This window comes from Homo sapiens, chromosome 1, assembly GCF_000001405.40.
Source record: "Homo sapiens chromosome 1, GRCh38.p14 Primary Assembly".
Classification (NCBI taxonomy): domain Eukaryota; kingdom Metazoa; phylum Chordata; class Mammalia; order Primates; family Hominidae; genus Homo; species Homo sapiens.
In genome coordinates this window covers 63,403,470-63,423,417 of record NC_000001.11, presented here as the reverse complement: position 1 = coordinate 63,423,417, position 19,948 = coordinate 63,403,470, and the positions used below count along the sequence as shown (strand labels likewise).

The following is a 19,948-nucleotide window of genomic DNA, read 5'->3' as shown; positions in this document are numbered from 1 at the left end:
TGTACTAATTGACAATGTAACATTTATGCTATGTGTACTTTAACACAATTTTAAAAATATAATTTTAAATATTTCTTTTAAAAAATGAATTATCAGCCAGGCGCAGTGGCTCATGCCTGTAATCCCAGCACTTTGGGAGGCCAAGGCAGGGGAATCAGTTGAGGTCAGGAATTCGAGACCAGCCTGGCCAACATGGTGAAACCCTTTCTCTTCCAAAAATACAAAAATTAGCTGGGCGTGGTGGTGTGCGTCTGTAGTCCCAGCTACTGGGGAGGCTGATGTGGGAGAATCGCTTGAACCCGGGAGGCAGAGGCTGCAGTGAGCAAAGATCACGCCACTGCACTCTAGCATGGGTGACAGAGTAAGACCCTGCCTCAAAAAAAAAAAAAAAAATTGCATTATCCCTACTTGTCTTTAGTTCTTCTCCTCTCATTTTTTCTATTTTTGTTTCCTTTGTTTTTTGAGACGGAGTTTTGCTCTCGTTGCCCATGCTGGAATGCAATGGTGCAATCTTGGCTCACCGCAACCTCCACCTCCTGGGTTCAAGCAATTCTCCTGCCTCACCCTCCCGAGTAGCTGGGATTACAGGCATGCATCACCACACCCAGCTAATTTTGTAATTTTAGTAGAGACAGGGTTTCTCCATATTGGTCAGGCTGGTCTTGAACTCCCAACCTCAGATGATCCACCCGCCTGGGCCTCCCAAAGTGCTGGGATTACAGGCATGAGCCACTGTGCCCGGCCCATTTTTTCTTAACCCTACCTAATCAGGCTTCTCCGTGCATTGCTCCACCAACACTGGCCCCACCAAAGTCACCAGTGACTTCCATATTGCTAAGGCAAATAATATATTCCCAGCCCTCATCTTATTTGACCTATAAGCAGCATCTGATGCAACTTACCACCTCATTTCCTTAATACACCTTCTTTTATATATATATATTTATATATATATTTATATTTATATATATATTTATATATATATTTATATTTATATATATATTTATATTTATATAGATATATATTTATATATATTTATACTTATATATATTTATATTTATATAGATATATATTTATATTCCTATAGATATATATTCATATATAGATATATATTTATATCTATATAAATATATATATTTATATATATATTTATATCTATATAAATATATATATTTATATATATATTTATATTTATATAAATATATATTTATATTCATATAGATATATATTTATATAAATATAAATTCATAGTTATATATATATTTATATTTATATATATTTATATATTTATTTATATATTTATATATATTTATATTTATATATTTATATATTTATTTATATAGATATTTATATAAATAGATATTTATATATAAATTATATATATACATATATGTATATATATATACTTTAAGTTCTGGGATACATGTGCAGAACATGCAGGTTTGTTACATAGGTATACACGTGCCATGGTGGTTTGCTGCACCCATCAACCTGTCATCTACATTACGTATTTCTCCCTAATGCTATCCCTCCCCTAGCCCCCACCCCCCAACAGGCCAGTGTGTGATGTTCCCTTCCGTTTCCATGTGTTCTGATTGTTCAACTCCCACTTATGAGTGAGAACACGTGGTGTTTGGTTTTCTGTTGCTGTGTTAGTTTGCTGAGAATGATGGTTTCCAGCTGCATCTGTGTCCCTGCAAAGGACATGAACTCATCCTTCTTTTTGGCCGCATAATATTCCATGGTGTGTATGTGCCACATTTTCTTAATCCAATCTATCATTGATGGGCATCTGGGTTTGTTCCAAGTCTTTGCTATCATGAATAGTGCTGCAATAAACATACATGTGCATGTGTCTTTATAGTAGAATGATTTATAATCCTTTGAGTATATACCCAGTAATGGGATTGCTAGGTCAAATGATTTCTAATCCTTTGGGTATATACTCAGTAATGGGATTGCTGGGTCAAATGGTATTTCTGGTTCTAGATCCTTGAGGCATCACCACACTATCTTCCACAATGGTTGAACTAATATACACTCCCACCAACAGTATAAAAGCATTCCTATTTCTCCACAAACTCTCCAGTATCTGTTGTTTCCTGACTTTTTAATGATCACTGAGGCAGGAGAATCGCTTGAACTAGGGAGGCGGAGGTTGTGGTGAGCCAAGATCACGCTATTGCACTCCAGCTTGGGCAACAAGAGCAAAACTCCATCTCAAAAATAATAATAAAATAAAATAAAATTGCAACCGCTACCTGCATCCCATCCTCCAGTACTCCTAATTACTCTTGCTCTGTTTTATTTCTCCATCATGGTATTTATTACCTTCTAACACACTCACTTCTTTTTTTTTTTTAATAAGTGTCTATCTTTAAGAATGATAGCTAAGAAGGCAGGGATTTTTGTCTGGAATATATCCCATGTGCACAAAACAGTGCCTGATAAATAGAAGGCACTCAATAAATATTTACTGAATGAAATATTTGTTTAATGATATGATTAGCTGGGACCAGGTCAAAAGGAACTTTTATTTAATTTTTTTTTTTTTTTTGAGACAGAGTCTCAGTCTGTCGCCCAGGCTGGAGTGCAGTGGTGCAGTCTCAGCTCACTGCAACCTCCACCTCCTGGGTTCAAGCAATTCTCCTGCCTCAGCCTCCCAAGTAGCTGGGATTACAGGTGCCCGCCACCATGCCCGGCTAATTTTTTTGTATTTTTAGTAGAGACAGGGTTTCACCGTGTTAGTCAGGATGGTGTCGATCTCCTGACCTCATGATCTGCCTGCCTCAGCCTCCCAAAGTGCTGGGATTACAGGCTTGAGCCACCAGGTCCAGCCCAAAAGGAACTTTTAATGCAAACTGTAAAACCATTTACCAAAAATAGATTAAAGCCATGCACTGTTACAAATAATCTAGGTGCATTTGTAAAAAATGAACCCCTAGAAGTTCAGTGTCTGAGAACTAATCTGGTCAGATTATAGGTCCTGAATGAGCTGCCTTTCTATGAGTATAAATTCTGGGGAAATATATTAATACATGTTTGAAAGTAATGCCTCTCCACAGTTTCATCCCCTGGTACCAGTGATTTGTGTAGGGTCAGCCTAGCCTCATACAATAGTGGTAAGCTCTAACTCAGGTTTGGGCCTCAGAGGATGGCATTAAGCAGTCTTCCCAGTCTACAATGATATGAGACTGTTTTATTTAGAGCCAAGAAGCCTTCCACACAGGCCAGCCCAGCTCTGCACGAAGGTTTTAGTCCAAAGCTCCACCTAATAAAAGCAATACTGCCTGCCATTTGTCATTGGTCATTCTGTACATGTATCTTCCACAGGATCCTAGTGAACATAGGGTGAGGGGTAGAGCAGTAGTGGGTTGGGATTGACCTAGAGGAGGATTTCAGTATTCCAAAGGGTTCTATGTGAATACTATTTTAATATTAGGATATCATACTCCCAGCTGTCATCCACTGCTTTCTATGAACATCAGGAAAAAAATTTAATGCTTCTAAAACAAAGTAGTCTGGTTACAGATTGCCAATAGGGCCTAAACTAAGCTTGTGGCAAAAAAAGAGAAAGAAGGCAACATACAAAAGACCCCATGGAAGTAAATGGAAAGAAGAAGGCTACCGAATAGATGTGGAAATGAATGAAATGAAAAAGCAAAGATGACAAACAGGCTCCAATCTGATGAAAACCTCTTTGAAGGATATATTTTTTATTAGCATGTAGAAAATATAAGTGAAGGAACAGGAAGAAATTACTATTATGTCAATAACATTCTACCAAAATTTTTCAGTTTAAAATACACTTTATAAAGAAAATCAAAAATTCTGGAAAAAAACCTGACTATGAAATCATTTTATGCAAAGATATAACATTTGTGTAGTTTTGTTTTGCATTCAAATGTATATTTGTATGTAAATTATAAAGTTATATTATAAACAAATAAACACATATTTCAAATGTTTCTACTTACAGTGACACCAAGAGAATGGATTTTTCATGTACTTGGAAAGAAAATAAAAAGAATGATAGCGCACAGCTAACCTTTAAGAAAAAAGGGGGGGAAATGAGATATAACAACTTGTGAAATAGCATATCAAGTTAATTATAGAATCTAAATAAAAATCATTTCAAATGAAAGTTGAAAGTTTATTAAAGCTCTATTTAGAAGTAAAATACAAACAACACTAGTATGCATATTTTAATCAAATTAAAAAATTGACATATTTTTTCAAAAAACAATGATTATAAAGCTTTATTTAACCATCTAAGTTCATCATAACTCAGTTATTAATAAACAGAACTAGTAAATACCTCAGACACAACAATCATACATTCATCCTCCCCTGGAATCTCAGACAACTTAAATTTAAAACCATGAAAGACAAGAAGGTCAGAATCTAAAACCGGCAAAACAAATCTATTTTGGTGTTTTAAAACATGCACTTCAATAAAATATATTAATGTTTTATAAATTAATAATGTGCTATTTAGAGTTTAAAAAAAATTATCTATTTTGAGAAGTTTATATTCTGCAAATTAGATATGGATAACTATCCAGTTGCTCAAGCAAAAACCTTGAATCTTATCCATGCTACACATCTAACCCATCAGCAAATGCTATCTACAGCACCTCCTAAATACAATATCCATCCACTTCTCTCCATTCCCCTCTGCTAAGGGTGGCAGAGGAGTGGTCTAAGCCACCCTCCATCTTTGTAGTAGTGCAATAATCTCCTAATTGGTAACACTCCTGCCTCCTGATAGTCCATTCTCCAAACAGCTACCATATCAGATCATGTAATTTTCCTGTTTAAAATCCTCCAATAGCTTCCTATTATACTTAGAAAAAAATCCCAATGCCTACAAGATCTGGTTCCTGCCTTCCCTTCCAACTCATCTCTTGTATCTCCCTCACTCATTTTACAGCAGCCACTTCATTCATCTCCTTTTGCCAAATGTGTTCCTGCCTTAAGGAAAAATATGATTCTATCAAGTCAGGGCCCAGATCTTCTTGTGATTGGCTCCTTCTGGTTGGTCATTCACTTCTTGGCTCAAATACTATTTTAATATTTAATATTTATAAATATTATTATTTAATAATTTAATAATTTATTAAATATTAAATTATTAAATTTAATATTTAATAATAAAGCTACTCAGAAAAACCCTAAACTATAGAAACCTTCTCTAGAAAGGTTTCCTTTACTCAATCTAAGTGTCCCCTAACCTCATTCCATCAGCTCTCTTTTCACATAACACTACTTTTTTTTTTTTTTGAGATGGAGTTTCACTCTTGTTGCCCAGGCTGGAGTGCAGTGGCGCAATCTCCACTCGCCGCAACCTCCGCCTCCCAGGTTCAAGCGATTCTCCTGCCTCAGCCTCCCAGTAGCTAGGATTACAGGCATGAACCACGACGCCTGGCAAATTTTGTATTTTTAGTAGAGACAGGGTTTCTCCATGTTGGTCAGGCTGGTCTTGAACTCCCAACCTCAGGTGATCCACCTGCCTCGGCCTCCCAAAGTGCTGGGATTACAGGTGTGAGCCACCGTGCCCGGCCAACACTACTTTCTTCATAGCACTCATTACTCCCAGATGCTTTCTTGTTAATGGATTTATCTTGTTTATTGTCCCTCTCCTGCCACTAGCATGGAAGGCCCCAAGTAAGAGAGCAGGGATGTCATCTGTCATTCCTTTACATGCCAGTACCTAGAGGAGGACCTGGCATATGAGAAGGCACTCAATACCTGAAAAATTAAATATAAATCCTTTTGCTGCTATACATGCACCAGTATTCATGCTATCAGTTACCTCAATTATAGATTTATATTGAGATATAATTCAGGCAAACATGATTGAAAGGAAAATACTTTTAAAACAATTATAATGGGAAATGTTCTTAAAACTCTCAGAAGTATACAATAAGAATTCAAAGCATGATTAACAAAAACAAAATAACAAAAATCTTACATTTAAAAAGTTTTAACACAATGGCTTCTTTTAAAACATACCAAACTGAAAAAAATTACAAAACTAAGAAAAAGAAAATGTTTTTTCTGGCTTATAATCCTAAAAGTAATCATCTCTAACACTGCTAAAGTTACCCAAACTCTGAAATTCTATTCTATTATCTTTGAACTGTACATTTATTTAGCATTCTACTTCCTAGAAAAACAACAATCTATCACAAGCTTGGAAGATATTTCAGGTTAAGCCTAGTGAAGACATCAGAGCATTACACCATATCCATTCTGTTCTAACTATCCAATAGAATATTAACAACAGATGACTTGGTATGCTCAGAGTTCATTCACAGAATCAAACAACACAAATCATCAATAAAAAGATAATGAAAAAGAAAAGAGGAACATAAAGCTATCCTTTTTGCATTGTGGTAATGAGATGCACTTTTGAAGTATTTCGCTGTTATGTTCTTTTCTGGCTTGTTTTTATCCAACGTACTTACATGGCAGTCCCAGACTTGGAACCCTAATTTCTAAATGTTGCCTCACATAAGTCCAGTAGGACTTACTGTTTTCAGAAACTAAATGTTCTTGATAGTTTAAAAGGTTATTTTTTAAATGTCATTTTATAGACCATGGCACACAGGAACAAAATTTTAAATGCCATAGAAACACAACCAAGAAGACTTTGTAAAGCTACTCAGAAAAACCCTAAACTGTAGAAAATGCACCTAGTCCATCTTCAAACTGACACAAGTCATCCTCCTAAAACAGAGATCTGCCCCCTCTCCTTCTCAAAAATATTTTTTAGTTTCTCTTGCACACAAATCAAACTCCAAACCTTTTCAACCAAGATTTTCAAGGTCTTCAATAATTTGGTCAATTTTTACCCTTATCTTTCACTATATCCTCTCCTACTCTCAACACATACACACAAAACTCACACAAGTTATATTGTTTAATAGCTATTCCCAGAATATCCTGTGTCCTTTCCCACCTCTGGACCTTCAACTTCTTCCTTCTGTTTTGAACTTCTCTTCTGCTATATAACCTGCTGTTCTAACCTTGCCCCACTTTCAAATTTGGGCTCAAATCCCACTTGCCCTAAACAGCATTCTAAAATCTCCCCCCGAGATAATATCTCCCTTTCCCACACCATCATAGGACTTCATTTGTACCTGATAGAACTTAATACCATCTGTTTTATAGCATAACTATTTAAGCTACTTAAGTTCATTGCCACTGTTTTCTACTTTGTAGTCCCTCATTAACTAATACGAAACAAATTAAATAGTTGAATTAACTGAAAGAGTATTGATTGCTTAGCTTAGTGTCTAACACAGAAGCTAAGTATGGGAAACATCCAATAAATGTCTGCCAAATAAATGAATGTCTTGTTTCCCAACCCAATAAATCCTGTGCAGACCATGAAAATAATTTTTAAAAGATCAGTTGTGGCAAGAATTAAGTATCTAAAGTAATGAAAAACTTACCAGTGTAAATTTGAATCCTTTGGAAGAGGGCTGAAGTATTAATTTTATGCATGCAGGAAGCAGGCTCAAAAACGTAGAACAAAAGCTAAAAAATTAATACAAATCAAATATTTGTCTTCTTTGTAGAGGTATAAATCTAGCTTAAATAAGGAAATATTTTTTAAATATAAGGATCATATTATTTATCAACTTAAGTTTATTTCAAACTATATTTTTATTTATTAAATTTAAAGATGAAATAACATTTAAACAAAATCTACACATTGATATATATATATACTTTTATACACGATTACATAATATAGACCAAACATGATAAAACTAAATATTGCTTCTGTTATTTTAGTATTTAATATCATGTATAGAAAATATACAAAGATACATAGTTGAAGGTCAATTATCAAACACTCAAAATAAGAAAACATAATGAAGTATAAGAGATAATGCTATATCTGTAACACAAACATTCATAAACTTTACTCACAAAAGAGTCTCTCTAGCCCTCATTTCACAAACATTGATTATCTGATTTTCAAGCCCATGGTAAATCATAAAGAACAAGGTGGAAAGGGAGCAGGAAGCTACTAGAGCTTCTCCTAATGATGGCTAATGGGTGGGAGGAAAAAGAACTAGAAAAAGCAGACAGACTCAACAAGCAAAGTGGCCTGGAACCATTTAGTACTATGGGAAATAGCCCCTGAAAGCCCTGAAAACAAGTATATAACCTAATACAATAACTGATTTTTCCCAGTTGTAGATTTTGACTCATCAACTTGGCTAGGCTGAACTAATGTCCCTAGAATTCCCTTCCTGTATGCCTTTGTTAGGGTGGGCTACAAGGGAAATTCTCATAAGATTTGGAAGACAGAGAGGCCACACCCATCTCATCTCCCAGTTATTTGAACACTAATCTGCTGTGAAAGAATTTTGCAGATGTGAAACCCCTACTCAGCTGATTTTAAATTAATCAAAAGGGATCTTGTCCTGAGGCGCCTAACTTAATCAAATAAAAGCCCTTTAAAAGACGGCTGAGGCCTTCCCTAACAGCATCTGGGTCTGAATTGCTCTTCCTTCCCCCCTAGATATTCCCTCCTGACTGCCTGCCTTGTGACTTCTGTTTTGCTTAGCTAGGCCCTACAACTGTATAAGCCAATTCCTTGTCACGAATTCACACACACACAGTACACAGTGATCTCCTACTCCTACTTCTTGGATTGATCCTGACTGATACACACTGAATATCATGACTCTTCAACATAATATTAATCGTATTTAATGTACTCTCTGTTCAAGGAGAGAACAAGGTAACAATTCAGAAATTTTCACATAAAATAATTCAAGTTGAAGAGTTTTATTGTACAGAGCAATAGGTCTTTTATGTGGAAAATCCTCTAAAGAAAAACACCTCGGCTGGGTGCAGTGGCTCATGCCTGTAATCCCAGCACTTTGGGAGGCCGAGGTGGGTGGATCACCTGAGGTCAGGAGTTCGAGACCAGCCTGGCCAAAATGGTGAAACCTCATCTTTACTAAAATACAAAAATTAGCTGGCCATGTGGCGGGCGCCTGTAATCCCAGCTACTCCAGAGGCTGAGGCAGGAGAATCACTTGAACCCAGGAGACAGAGACTGCAGTGAGCCGAGCTCAAGCCACTGCACTCCAACCTGGGTGACAGAGCCAGACTCTGTCTCAAAAAAAAAAAAAAGAAAAGAAAAACACCTCATTCCCTAATGATGCCAAATAAATGAAATAATACCATAATGCTTTTAAAGAGTAACTTATAAAATACTACATACAAACTTTGTTTCTCTTACCTCATTATTAATTGGATGTGACGTGGCAAAATATCCTTAATCTTCAGAAAGACATTGAAGCTGCACCAAATATTGGCTACTTTATCCTTAAAAGAGATTTGTTAGCTTTACATTCTGGTATAATTGAAAGAAATATTAAAACCCATGAAGTACAGCCCATAATCTCTAATAAACTTTTTGAGATGTGAAACTTTTAGTCACAATTATAACTAAATAGATTAAATCCTCCAGGAATAAACATATACGCATACACTGTCTCAAGCATTTTTCATTTTTGTGCAGGGCAGTTGATCAAAAGCATTGGCCCACCATAATCCAGACATTCCCAAATACTTAATAGTTTTCAAAGAGCAGTGCACTATCCCTGAATACTAAAGTCCTTCATCTTTGGAAATTTTTCTAAGAAATGTTTTTTCTACAATTTATAGAATACATATTACATTTGACCCATTTTTATCACACAACTGAATTTACTTAGAGTAACAGAGTAACCTGCTAGCTACTAGCAATGACAAGAGCTAATTGCTAATAAATCAAAGTCTAAAGACATTAGCAGTTGTGCTAGGATCACTTTCAAAATTAAGTTTGTAACTACAGCTCTCCTGGTGGTGAAATCCGTTCTCTACACAGCTGCTTGACTTACAGCTGTGCAGACTTAACATCAAAAAAGTAACTATCACTGACAACTATATCATCCCACTTTCCTCTGCTGGATCAAAGAAAATGCTTTTCAGATTTTGAAGGCAAGAAGTGAATGGAAGAGACTGGCAACACCATCAAACATGTCTGATACTCATTTTTATAATTATCATGATAAATGCCATTTCTGAAATGGAAGGTAAGGCAAATAATTAGGCAGCTTACATAGAGAGTTAAACTTTTCTTTATGTAAGTGTTAGAGTTTATATAAAGAAGAGGTTAGGAAAACAATTTTCCAAGTTCAAGTCACAGTTCTGCTACATACTAGTTATAGGAATCTTTGACCTCAGTTTTCTAATCTGTAAAGTGGAGACAATAGCTACCACAAAGCTACTGTAAAGATCAAATAAAATTACATGGAAGTGTCTGGCACCTGCTAAGTGGTGGTTATAACAATAGTGATTATTTAGATCATCACTACCATCATCCTGTTGACATACAGTCACACATTTCTGTTCCTTCACAACACCAAACTCCCATCTTAGTCGCTTTCAAAATGCTGGTTCCATCTTCCTATAAGTCTACTGAAAGATATTCTATAGAAATTTATATATTCAAAACTTAGGAAAATATGCTTTTAAAATTATTTTTAAAAGAAATGCTAGCAAATTATCTATAAATATGTTGTTTCTGTCTAACTTTATTAAAAGGCCTTTTTGTTTCAGAAAAATGGTTTAATTTAATTACCAAATCTAAATGATCAAATTATTCACATAATAAAAGTTTAACAAGAGTGATTAAACTAGCATTAAATGAAATGAAATGAAAGATTCTCATTAAAAATTACTATGGATGAAGGTTATATATCTCATAAGAAATTATGAGATCTTCCTGAAGCAACATGATTATTAGTTTTACAAATAATTTCCTAAGACTAAAAACAGAATATACACCAAAAAATTACACAGCTGTTAAAATTGTAGCTGAAACTTCTCATGCTGTCTTTCATTACAAACCCTATTTCATTACAAAAACATATAATTCAATTATGGATCTGATGATGGCATGAATATTACCTATTGATGGAACATACTAAAAAATGCCACCTGAGCTAGGGGTTATATAATGGATTAAATAACTAGCAAGGTGCACACACCCTGTTGTCCCAGCTACTTGGGAGGCAAAGGCAGGAGAATCACTTGAGCCCAGGAGTTCAAGGCTGTAGTGCACCATGATTACCCCTGCGAATAGCCACTGCCCTCCAGCCTGGGCAACAGCAAGATCCTGTCTCAACCAATCAATTAATCAATCAAGCAATAACTGGCAAGGAATGATTACAGGAGGAAAGTAGCTGAAGTTCCTATTCCTTGTACCTTCTACATGAAACCCCTAAAGGTCACAGGTAAGGTACAGTAACAGAAAGGAGAGGAAAGTGTTTAAACATGCCTCAAATAATCCACGATCAACCGGGAAGAGTCTTCTTAGAACCTGCAGGGTTTGTTCCCTTTCTGTAAAGAATGGCAGCCAGCAGAGAACGAAGGAAGCCACAACAATACAAGCTAGCTTAACTAGCAACACAAACCTAAAACAAAAACAAAGGTAGGCAGTAAGATAGGGAAAGGTCAGTAATTCTGCAAAATCAACCTGAGTCTCACTGAACATAATACATGCACATGTATAGTAATGCCAAATCTATGTTACCAATATAGGCTTAAGATGGGAGTGTGCTCAAATCAGAGGTAAAAAATTCACAACAGCTAAGACGTGCACTTCAACAAAAGGACTGTTATCACCATCGTAATTAACATTTATGTTAGATGCCATTCCTATAGGAATAAGAGAGTGCATTCATGAAGAAAAATATCAAATGGGGATGTATTTCTAATAAGTATATAATGTAGTAAGCTCTAAAGTGATAAAATCCTACAGCAAAGTTCTAACTACCCAATCCACACTACCAGTAAATATACATGAATTGAAATATTTCTCTAGTTAGGAAAATTAAAAATAAAATACAGAACATGACTTAATCTCTCTCTTCCCACATACCCTACAGCCAAAATATTTATAAGAAATCACCAAAAGGCAAAGTGAAAGATCATCTTACTGCAAGTAAGTATGCCAAAAAAATTATCTGAAGTAAATTTTTGGATTCTAGTGTTTAAAAGTCACTCACCCCTTTCCTTTGAGGCCTTTTTTAAAACACTTGCCAAGTAAAAAGCAAAAAAATGGCAAGGCGTGGTAAAGTTCCATCTGTTTATAATTTATAGCTAAGCAAAATGCCAGTGACCCTAGGAGGTCGCAGTCACAAGATATTCCAAGAACACCCCACAAAGCAAAGCCAAGACTCACAGAATTATATATGTTCCTGTGTCAAGGAAATTATCTCAATAATCTTTTAAAAAGATAGAGCTTTTAAAAAGCAAATCACACAAGAGATATGCTCTAGGAAATGCAAGCTCATAGCATATCTCTTATGTGATTTTAAAATAACATATACAATGAAAGCTATTTCCCAATAGAAATTCAAAGTACTGAAGTGATAAACAAACATGAAATTATGTATAACAGCATCAAATACATTAAATCTACTGCTAAGCAGCAACTGATTTGTTTTGGTTTAAAAGAGCTCTAAAGATTTAAAACATAGCTTTGTTTCTGTTAGATTACTTCACAATATTATTATAACATACCAAAATCTAGAGAATAAAACAATGTTCCAACAGCAAGTTAAAAAAAAATTTACTGAGATCGCTACACTTCCTCTATTATATATATTAATAGTATAAAGTAATATATGTACTTAATTAGAAACTAACAACATTGTTAATTAAAACAATATCACAATTAGATTTTCAGTTCAAAATGGTGAGCTAGGCACTAATGTTTACCTCCTCTCCTTCCCGAGAGACTCTTAAAATAATAGGAAAAGGAATTTAATAGTATAAATTCAGGCCAGAAGTCGTGGCTCACACCTGTAAACCCAACACTTTGGAAGGCCAAGGCAGGAAGATTGCTTGAGCCAGGAGTTTGAGACCAGCCTCAGCAACATGGCAAAACCCCATCTCTACAAAAAAATTTTTAAATTAGCCGAGTGTGGTGGTGCAAGCCTGGAGTCCTAGTTACCCAAGAAGCTGAGGCAGGAGGACTGCTTGAGCCCAGGAAGTTGAGGCTGCAGTGAGCTATGATCATGCCACTGCACTCCAGCTTGGGCAAGAGAGCAAGAAAACAAAAACAAACAAACAAAAAGTATAAATTCACAGCCATAAAGAGAATGGGAGGATCTGTTATAATAGATAAAGATTTCAACATATTTCTGGAAGACAGAAGTGATAACAAATAAAATAGGATGAAGGAAGCCACAGCTTAGAGTATATACATAGAGGAGACTCAGGGTAGCAAAAAGCCAATCCACCCTGCAAGACCCTAGAGAACTTTGGAAACACCAAGTAGGTTACAGTCTTTGAGTAGTATGTGCAGAAGAAAACAAGAGATTAACTGAAAATCCCTAGAGGTAGAAGTCAAATCTTACCCCACTCCCATGCAAAGATTATCTGGCAGCCAAACATTTACCCCAAGGCAACAAAAGAGGGCATATTTTTCTGAAGAAATGAACTAAACTATCCAGTGTAGAGGTTAGCACTATAATGCAAACCCCTCCACATTCTGACATTTAAGCATCTCAATGCGTGGTGGCCAGCTTGCTCCCCACTTATCCTAGAGTGGACCAATGATATATAGAAGTCATATGCAGGTGTTCTTGCCTTATTCTTAAATAAAAATAGATACACTAGGATAAAATAAACATTTATAGAAAACCTATGACAGAAAAAGAATCGAAATGAAAGGGAAACTAAATGACCATGAAAGAATTAAAATCACTCAGGGAACAGTAGTGAACTTTACCAAAAAAACAAAAAGTAGTAAATTCTAATTAGAAATTAAAAATATACCTAACAATACAAATGAAATTCGATAGAAGTGTTGGGGATAAACTCAAGATAACCCAACCCATAAAACAAAAGAGAAAGGGATGCAAAAGATCAAACATCTGACTAATAGGCTCAAGAAAGAAAAAAGTGAGAAAATCATCAAAGAAATAATATAACAGAATTTAGCAGAACAGAAGAACATGAGTCTTCAAAACGTATGGACCCATATACGGTTTGGATATCCAAAACAATTGTGAAAAACACCTATGTCTAAACAAATCACTGTAAAATTTCAGAACCACAAAAATAAATTATAAAAATGGTAATAATAGCAACAAATGCCTATATAATGCTTAGTGTCTCCCAGGAACTGTCTTAAGTGCTTTACAAATATTAATTCATTTAATTATCAAACTAAGCTTACAAAGTCAGGGTTTCTATTATCCACATTTTGCAAATGAGAAAAGTACATAATGGTTAAAAAATGTGTCCTTAGAGCTAGGCACAGTGGCTCACACCTATAATCCCAGCACTCTGGGAGGCCAAGGTGGGTGGATCACTTGAGGTCAGGAGTTTGAGACCAGTCTGGCCAACACAGTGAAACCCTGTCTCTACTAAAAATACAAAAATTAACAGGGTGTGGTGGCACATGCCTATAATCCCAGCTACTTAGGAGGCTGAGGCAGGAGTATCGTTTGAACCCAGGAGGCAGAGGTTGCAGCGAGCCAAAATCACGCCATTGCATTCCAGCATGGCGGACAAGAGCGAAACTCCGAAACTCCGTCTCAAAAGAAAAAAATGTATCCTTACAAGATAACATATGCCTGAAAGCCTTCAGAGTTTAACTCAAATCACAGGGGACATACTACTACAAATTTTCCAGAATGGCTAAATCGAAAACCATTGACAGTTGGTCAAGATGTAGAGCATCTGGAACTCTTACACCATTGTTATGAGAGTCTTAATTGGTACATGCTGCTAAAAACAACTTGGGATTATCTAAAAATCGACATGTGCACACTCTATAACTCAACAATTCCACTTATAAGAAGAATGTTTATATATGTACAAGGAGATATTTATAAGATGTTCATGGCAGCATTATTCGTCATGGCCCAAACTGGGAAACAACCCAAATTACTCTCTCAGTGATAGAATTACATGTATTCATGCAATGGAATATCGTAAAGCAATGAAAGTGAACACTGAATTCACTTTCATAGTTTTTTAACAAACTGCAGCTACACACAACTACATGAATACATCTCATAAACAAAATGTTCAGCCCAAAACATCAAACACAAAAGAATACTTACTATGCTGTCCCTTTCATATAAAATTCAAAAAAGGGGAAAACTATAGGATTAGTAGTTAGTTCAGGGGTACCATTGGGAAAGGAGGAGGGAGAAGGATGGGGAGGTGTACAAGGGTAGTTTTTGGATACTAGTAATGTTCTATTTCTTGACATGAGTGGTAGTTTGCCAACTCACTGAGCTGTACATTTATATTTTGCATAGTTTTCTGCATGAGTGTCACATTTCAAAGTAAATATAGTTTTAAAACTCTGGTAGATAACATTTTTTCCTTTTCTATCACTGTTCTTGATATTATCAGAGTATCTGATAGCCATGATCCCATAAACAATGTCAAAATTTTTAAAAAACTAAATTAGTAAAGTGGACAGAATATAAAATATATGATAAAAACAACTACAGACTTGAATATCTTTTATTTGTAAGTCCTTTGACAGATATACCTATTAGTGTTATTATAACTAAAACAAGACTGGCATCAAAAGGAAAAGCTATTAATTAAATAATCATGTTGCTGTGTAATGTCGTCTTTTTTTCCTTTAAGAGAGATGGAGACAGGTAATAACATTCAATATATTATAAGACAAATTAGATAGATATATACAGATTTTTATCAATTTATTCTCATCTAAGCTTTGTTTGAATGTTCCTTATTTTAGGCATCAAAAAAATACACATATAAAAGCCATATTTTGATTATCAGTTTTAGTTTCCTGAAGCTTCTAGCTACTACTATCTGATAGAAAAAAAATTTTTAAACTCATAAAACTGTAAGATCATTCTCCTTTTTTCACGTCAGATAACATTTACAAAGGATAGAAGACATGTTACACTTTAGAATTACTAGAGTATAACCATACTTGGCACTCTTTTTCCAACACCCCAGAAAGAGCTAATCATTTACCAACATTTTGTTCCCAATCAAACAACATGAAAAAGCAATTCTACTTTTAATAAATCTGTACTTTACCTTTCAAATAAAAGCTTAGTGAAGAGATTCTTTTATATTATTGTGAAATAGTTTATATAAGCAAGCACTCTATCAAATAAGACATTACTAGATGACAGCAATGTACACATTGAGTCTAGATTTCACAATATGCAACTGACTTCATTTCTGCATTAGTAAAGGATACTGAAAATGTCCATAGTCTATAAGAATAAGGCCTGGATACAGCAAGATGCATAATGCATTAGCAATCTGTAAAGACAAATATTGTGAGATAAGAAAGTAATCTGTTACACAAATCAAGCAGGGTAAAAGTGTGGTTTTTATCTAACACATTAGCAAATGTTCCCCTTTTCCAGAGGTGTCACACTTTCTTTTCATAAAATATTCAATTTTTATAATACAACTCTTTAGACAATGAAGTTTTCATGAAGGTGACATTGGACACTTCCATAAAAAGGAAAAACAAAACCACTAAAAGGTTTTGTCAGAGGAAGTACTTTCAGATACACAAACTGGAGAAGTCAATCTAATGTTAACCTATCTAAAATGACCAAAAATAATATTTGATAACTATGAATTAAGAATATACAACAACTTTTCAAAATGCCTTTCAGTTTGGTCAATCTCACAAGCCAGCTCAAAATTCAGCTTTACCAGTAAAGTAACAAATTCAGCAAGGCATGTAGTTCAACAGTACATAACTTCCAAGATTCAGTGTATCTTAGTAGTACACTAAAATAATTAATTACTGTAAGATAAGTTGATGCTTTTGAAGTGAAAATTGATAGAAGATACAATATTCCTAATTACTCTCTTTCCAAAAGCATGGCTTCTCTAAGGTCTATACTTAATAGTTAGACTAATAAAGAATACATTTCAGAGACGAACTGTCAGGCTGCTTGAAAACCTACCTTTTTCTTAGTTGAGATTTCTTTTAAGCAACAACAGTACAAAACCACTGCAGGTATGTAAATCAGCAGATCAGCAATTAAAACTGAAAACACAAGTAAATAACTTTAAACATGAGTCCATCAGGATTTACAGCTACCCATTAACTGCCTCCCTTCCTCCAACATTGAGAATTCATTAACACAAGGTTCTTGCCCTACTATGGACAAGTCCTTTACACAGTCAGCACTTTTCAATCCCTTCACCTGTGACTAATTTCAATTGCTGTATTGCAAAGGAGTCTCTTAATTTTCTCTAACAAATTCACACATTTAATCAATCAGATGTATCTAACATTCTCTCTTTGCTCTAACTTGGACTTAAAAATATTCAAAGCAAGGAAATATTTTTTTCCTCAATCTATATACTCTGAATTTTCTAGTATAAAGAATAACTGAAATGTAGTGATGTGTAAGAAAATCTTTTTTAAATGTTGGTCTTTATTGAAAAAATATAAACTTTTGCTAATTAATGCATATAAAGAGCTTGAGAAACCCAGGTGAGGAGAAAACTGAAAAAAAAATCCTAAAAAAAGAAAAGCAATTCATAATTTTGAACATGCAGTCCTTTAGAACAAAGAAAAATAAATACATAAGTTCTTCAAATGTATAACATAGCTGTCTAAAGAGCTTATTTTTTTCTTATATCTCACTTAGTGTCAAGAAAAAGGTGACAGTAAACTATCAATCTATCAACTGAAATCTATCAATATGTTCAGCTCCAGATGCCACATTAAAGATGACACTGACAAACTGGAACACACCCAAAAGAGTGGCGAGAGTCCTCAAAACCATAATCACATTCAACAAATTGCTCATCTAAGGAATAGCTGAAGTATATAGGAATCTTTAACTTAGAGAAGAGGTGACTTCAAATTCCTGTAGGATGTTAGGGATACAAGGGATCAGACTTGTTCTCTGTAACCCTAGAAAACATAATCTGTAATGACTGGTGGAAGTTCAATTTAGAAAGTAATTTTTAATGACTGGAGCTCTCTGAAAACAGAATAGACTGTCTCTAAAGGTTGTGAGTTCCCTGCAAGTATGGATATTGGTTCAGAAGCCAAATAATCACATGGTGTGTATGTGGTTCAGAAAGGATTAAAGCATTGGAGAGGGAAGGGCAGTGGTGTGGGAGAGGGAAAGACAGGAAAAACAGGTTATCTCTTGGGCCTAAGATTCCATGACTGGATGAATTGTAAGGAGAACAAACTCTGACTACATTTAGACTAATTAAGGAAAAGGACTGGGCTTTTAAAGCATTAAAGCATAAGTCATGTAAAGCTCTTAAAGAAATCTAAGCTTATTACTTTCAAGCTCCTACAACAGCACACACACATGCTCAATAAACATTTGTTGTGTGGATTATTTAATTTAGAAACTGCACAACAATACAATGTATAAGATGATAACTGCAAGGTTTGCTTTAAGAAAAAATGAAAGAAATTTAGAATTAGGATATTAAAGCAGCACCCTAAAAAACTAAAGATTCAATTTATAGCTATCTTGCTTCATTTAACTATGCCTCAGTTTCCTCAGCTTAAAATAAGAATAATAGTATTTATCTCATTTAGGTGTTCAAAGAATTAAGTCAGATAAAAAATGTAAAGCACCCAGAATTATTCCTTTCTACTCTTTCAAGTTTTAGCTTACATATACATTTGGTCTTGGATCATGTATACAAATATGTATATTTGTAAATATATGTGTTTGTGTAATTGCACAATTTTAAAGTCAGTAAGAACAATAATAGTACCTTTACCAGTTTGTCCAAAATTTTTAAAAAATCAAATTTTATATTCACTACCCATTGCTCTTTTACCTGTTGTACGCATGAAGAGCTTATGTGCCTGACTCTCATATCCACGTGATGTATGGAGAGCAATCCAGTCTGGATTTATAAACTTTGCCCTGCAAATCAAAGCATATATACAGATACTTCATTCCTCATCCCTTTTAGCAATAAAGATATTGAAGGATATATGAATGTATTAATATTTTGAGAATTGGCCATTTCTCTTATAAAGCAACAGAGTCAATGCTTAAGTTTTACTCTTTTTATTTAATCATGTGAAACTGACTTAAGCTATAAAACAGCATCTACATTGCTTACCTTCCAACAAAACTATGTAAGGTATAACTACAAGCCCTATCTTCACAGTTCTTCCAGTGTAAAAACAATCTGGCATGTCACATTTCATTTACCAAACACATACTTTATAAAAAGCAATATGCTAGTGTTGACCAGAGGATCATCTTTACAATTTATAATATTTTAGTTATCATAACAATTGGCTACAATAAACAGCTATAATAATCATAAATCACTGCATAAAACTAAACACAATTGTTAAATGAAATTTTCAACCATATTACAATTACCCTGAATACTATAATGATGATGTTTGGGAGTTTATTTTCAATCCATGAAGCTTATTTTTGCAAATATTAAATACACTCATAACGACACCGCATAACGACATTTCAGTCAACAATGGACCATATGTAGGACAATGATCCCATAAGATTGTACTACCATATTTTTACGCTAGCTATGTGTTGATATGTTTAAATATACAAATACCATTGTGTTACAACTGCCTACAGTATTCAGTACAGTGACATGCTGTACAGGTTTGTAGCCTAGGAACAATAGGCTATGCTATACGCCTAGATATAGTAGGCTATACCATTTTGCCTACTAAAGTACCCTCTATGATGTTTGCATAATGATGAAATCACCTAACCACACATTTCTCAGAATGTATCCCCATCGTGAAGTGACACAGGGCTGTAAGTAGAAATTAAACAAGATGAGTTCACGAGATATTGTGAAGAGGTTCCTCAAATTTTTGCTGACATACTTCAAATCTAAGATGGAATACCACTACAGA

At 34.7% G+C, this 19,948-nt stretch overlaps 1 protein-coding gene across 1 annotated transcript in view; it reads right to left on the bottom strand.

Moving 5' to 3' along the window:
- The window catches only part of ALG6 (ALG6 alpha-1,3-glucosyltransferase), a 70,927-nt gene that overhangs the window by 15,136 nt on the left and 35,843 nt on the right, over nucleotides 1–19,948 (bottom strand). Inside the window, exons 5-12 of the mRNA NM_013339.4 lie at nucleotides 18,877–18,965; nucleotides 17,019–17,101; nucleotides 16,292–16,356; nucleotides 12,087–12,272; nucleotides 11,357–11,492; nucleotides 9,272–9,357; nucleotides 7,461–7,545; nucleotides 3,978–4,048 (exon numbers count right to left, since the gene is read on the bottom strand). Of these exons, the coding sequence (NP_037471.2) occupies nucleotides 3,978–4,048; nucleotides 7,461–7,545; nucleotides 9,272–9,357; nucleotides 11,357–11,492; nucleotides 12,087–12,272; nucleotides 16,292–16,356; nucleotides 17,019–17,101; nucleotides 18,877–18,965 (801 nt within the window). The remainder of the gene's footprint in view (nucleotides 1–3,977; nucleotides 4,049–7,460; nucleotides 7,546–9,271; nucleotides 9,358–11,356; nucleotides 11,493–12,086; nucleotides 12,273–16,291; nucleotides 16,357–17,018; nucleotides 17,102–18,876; nucleotides 18,966–19,948) is intronic.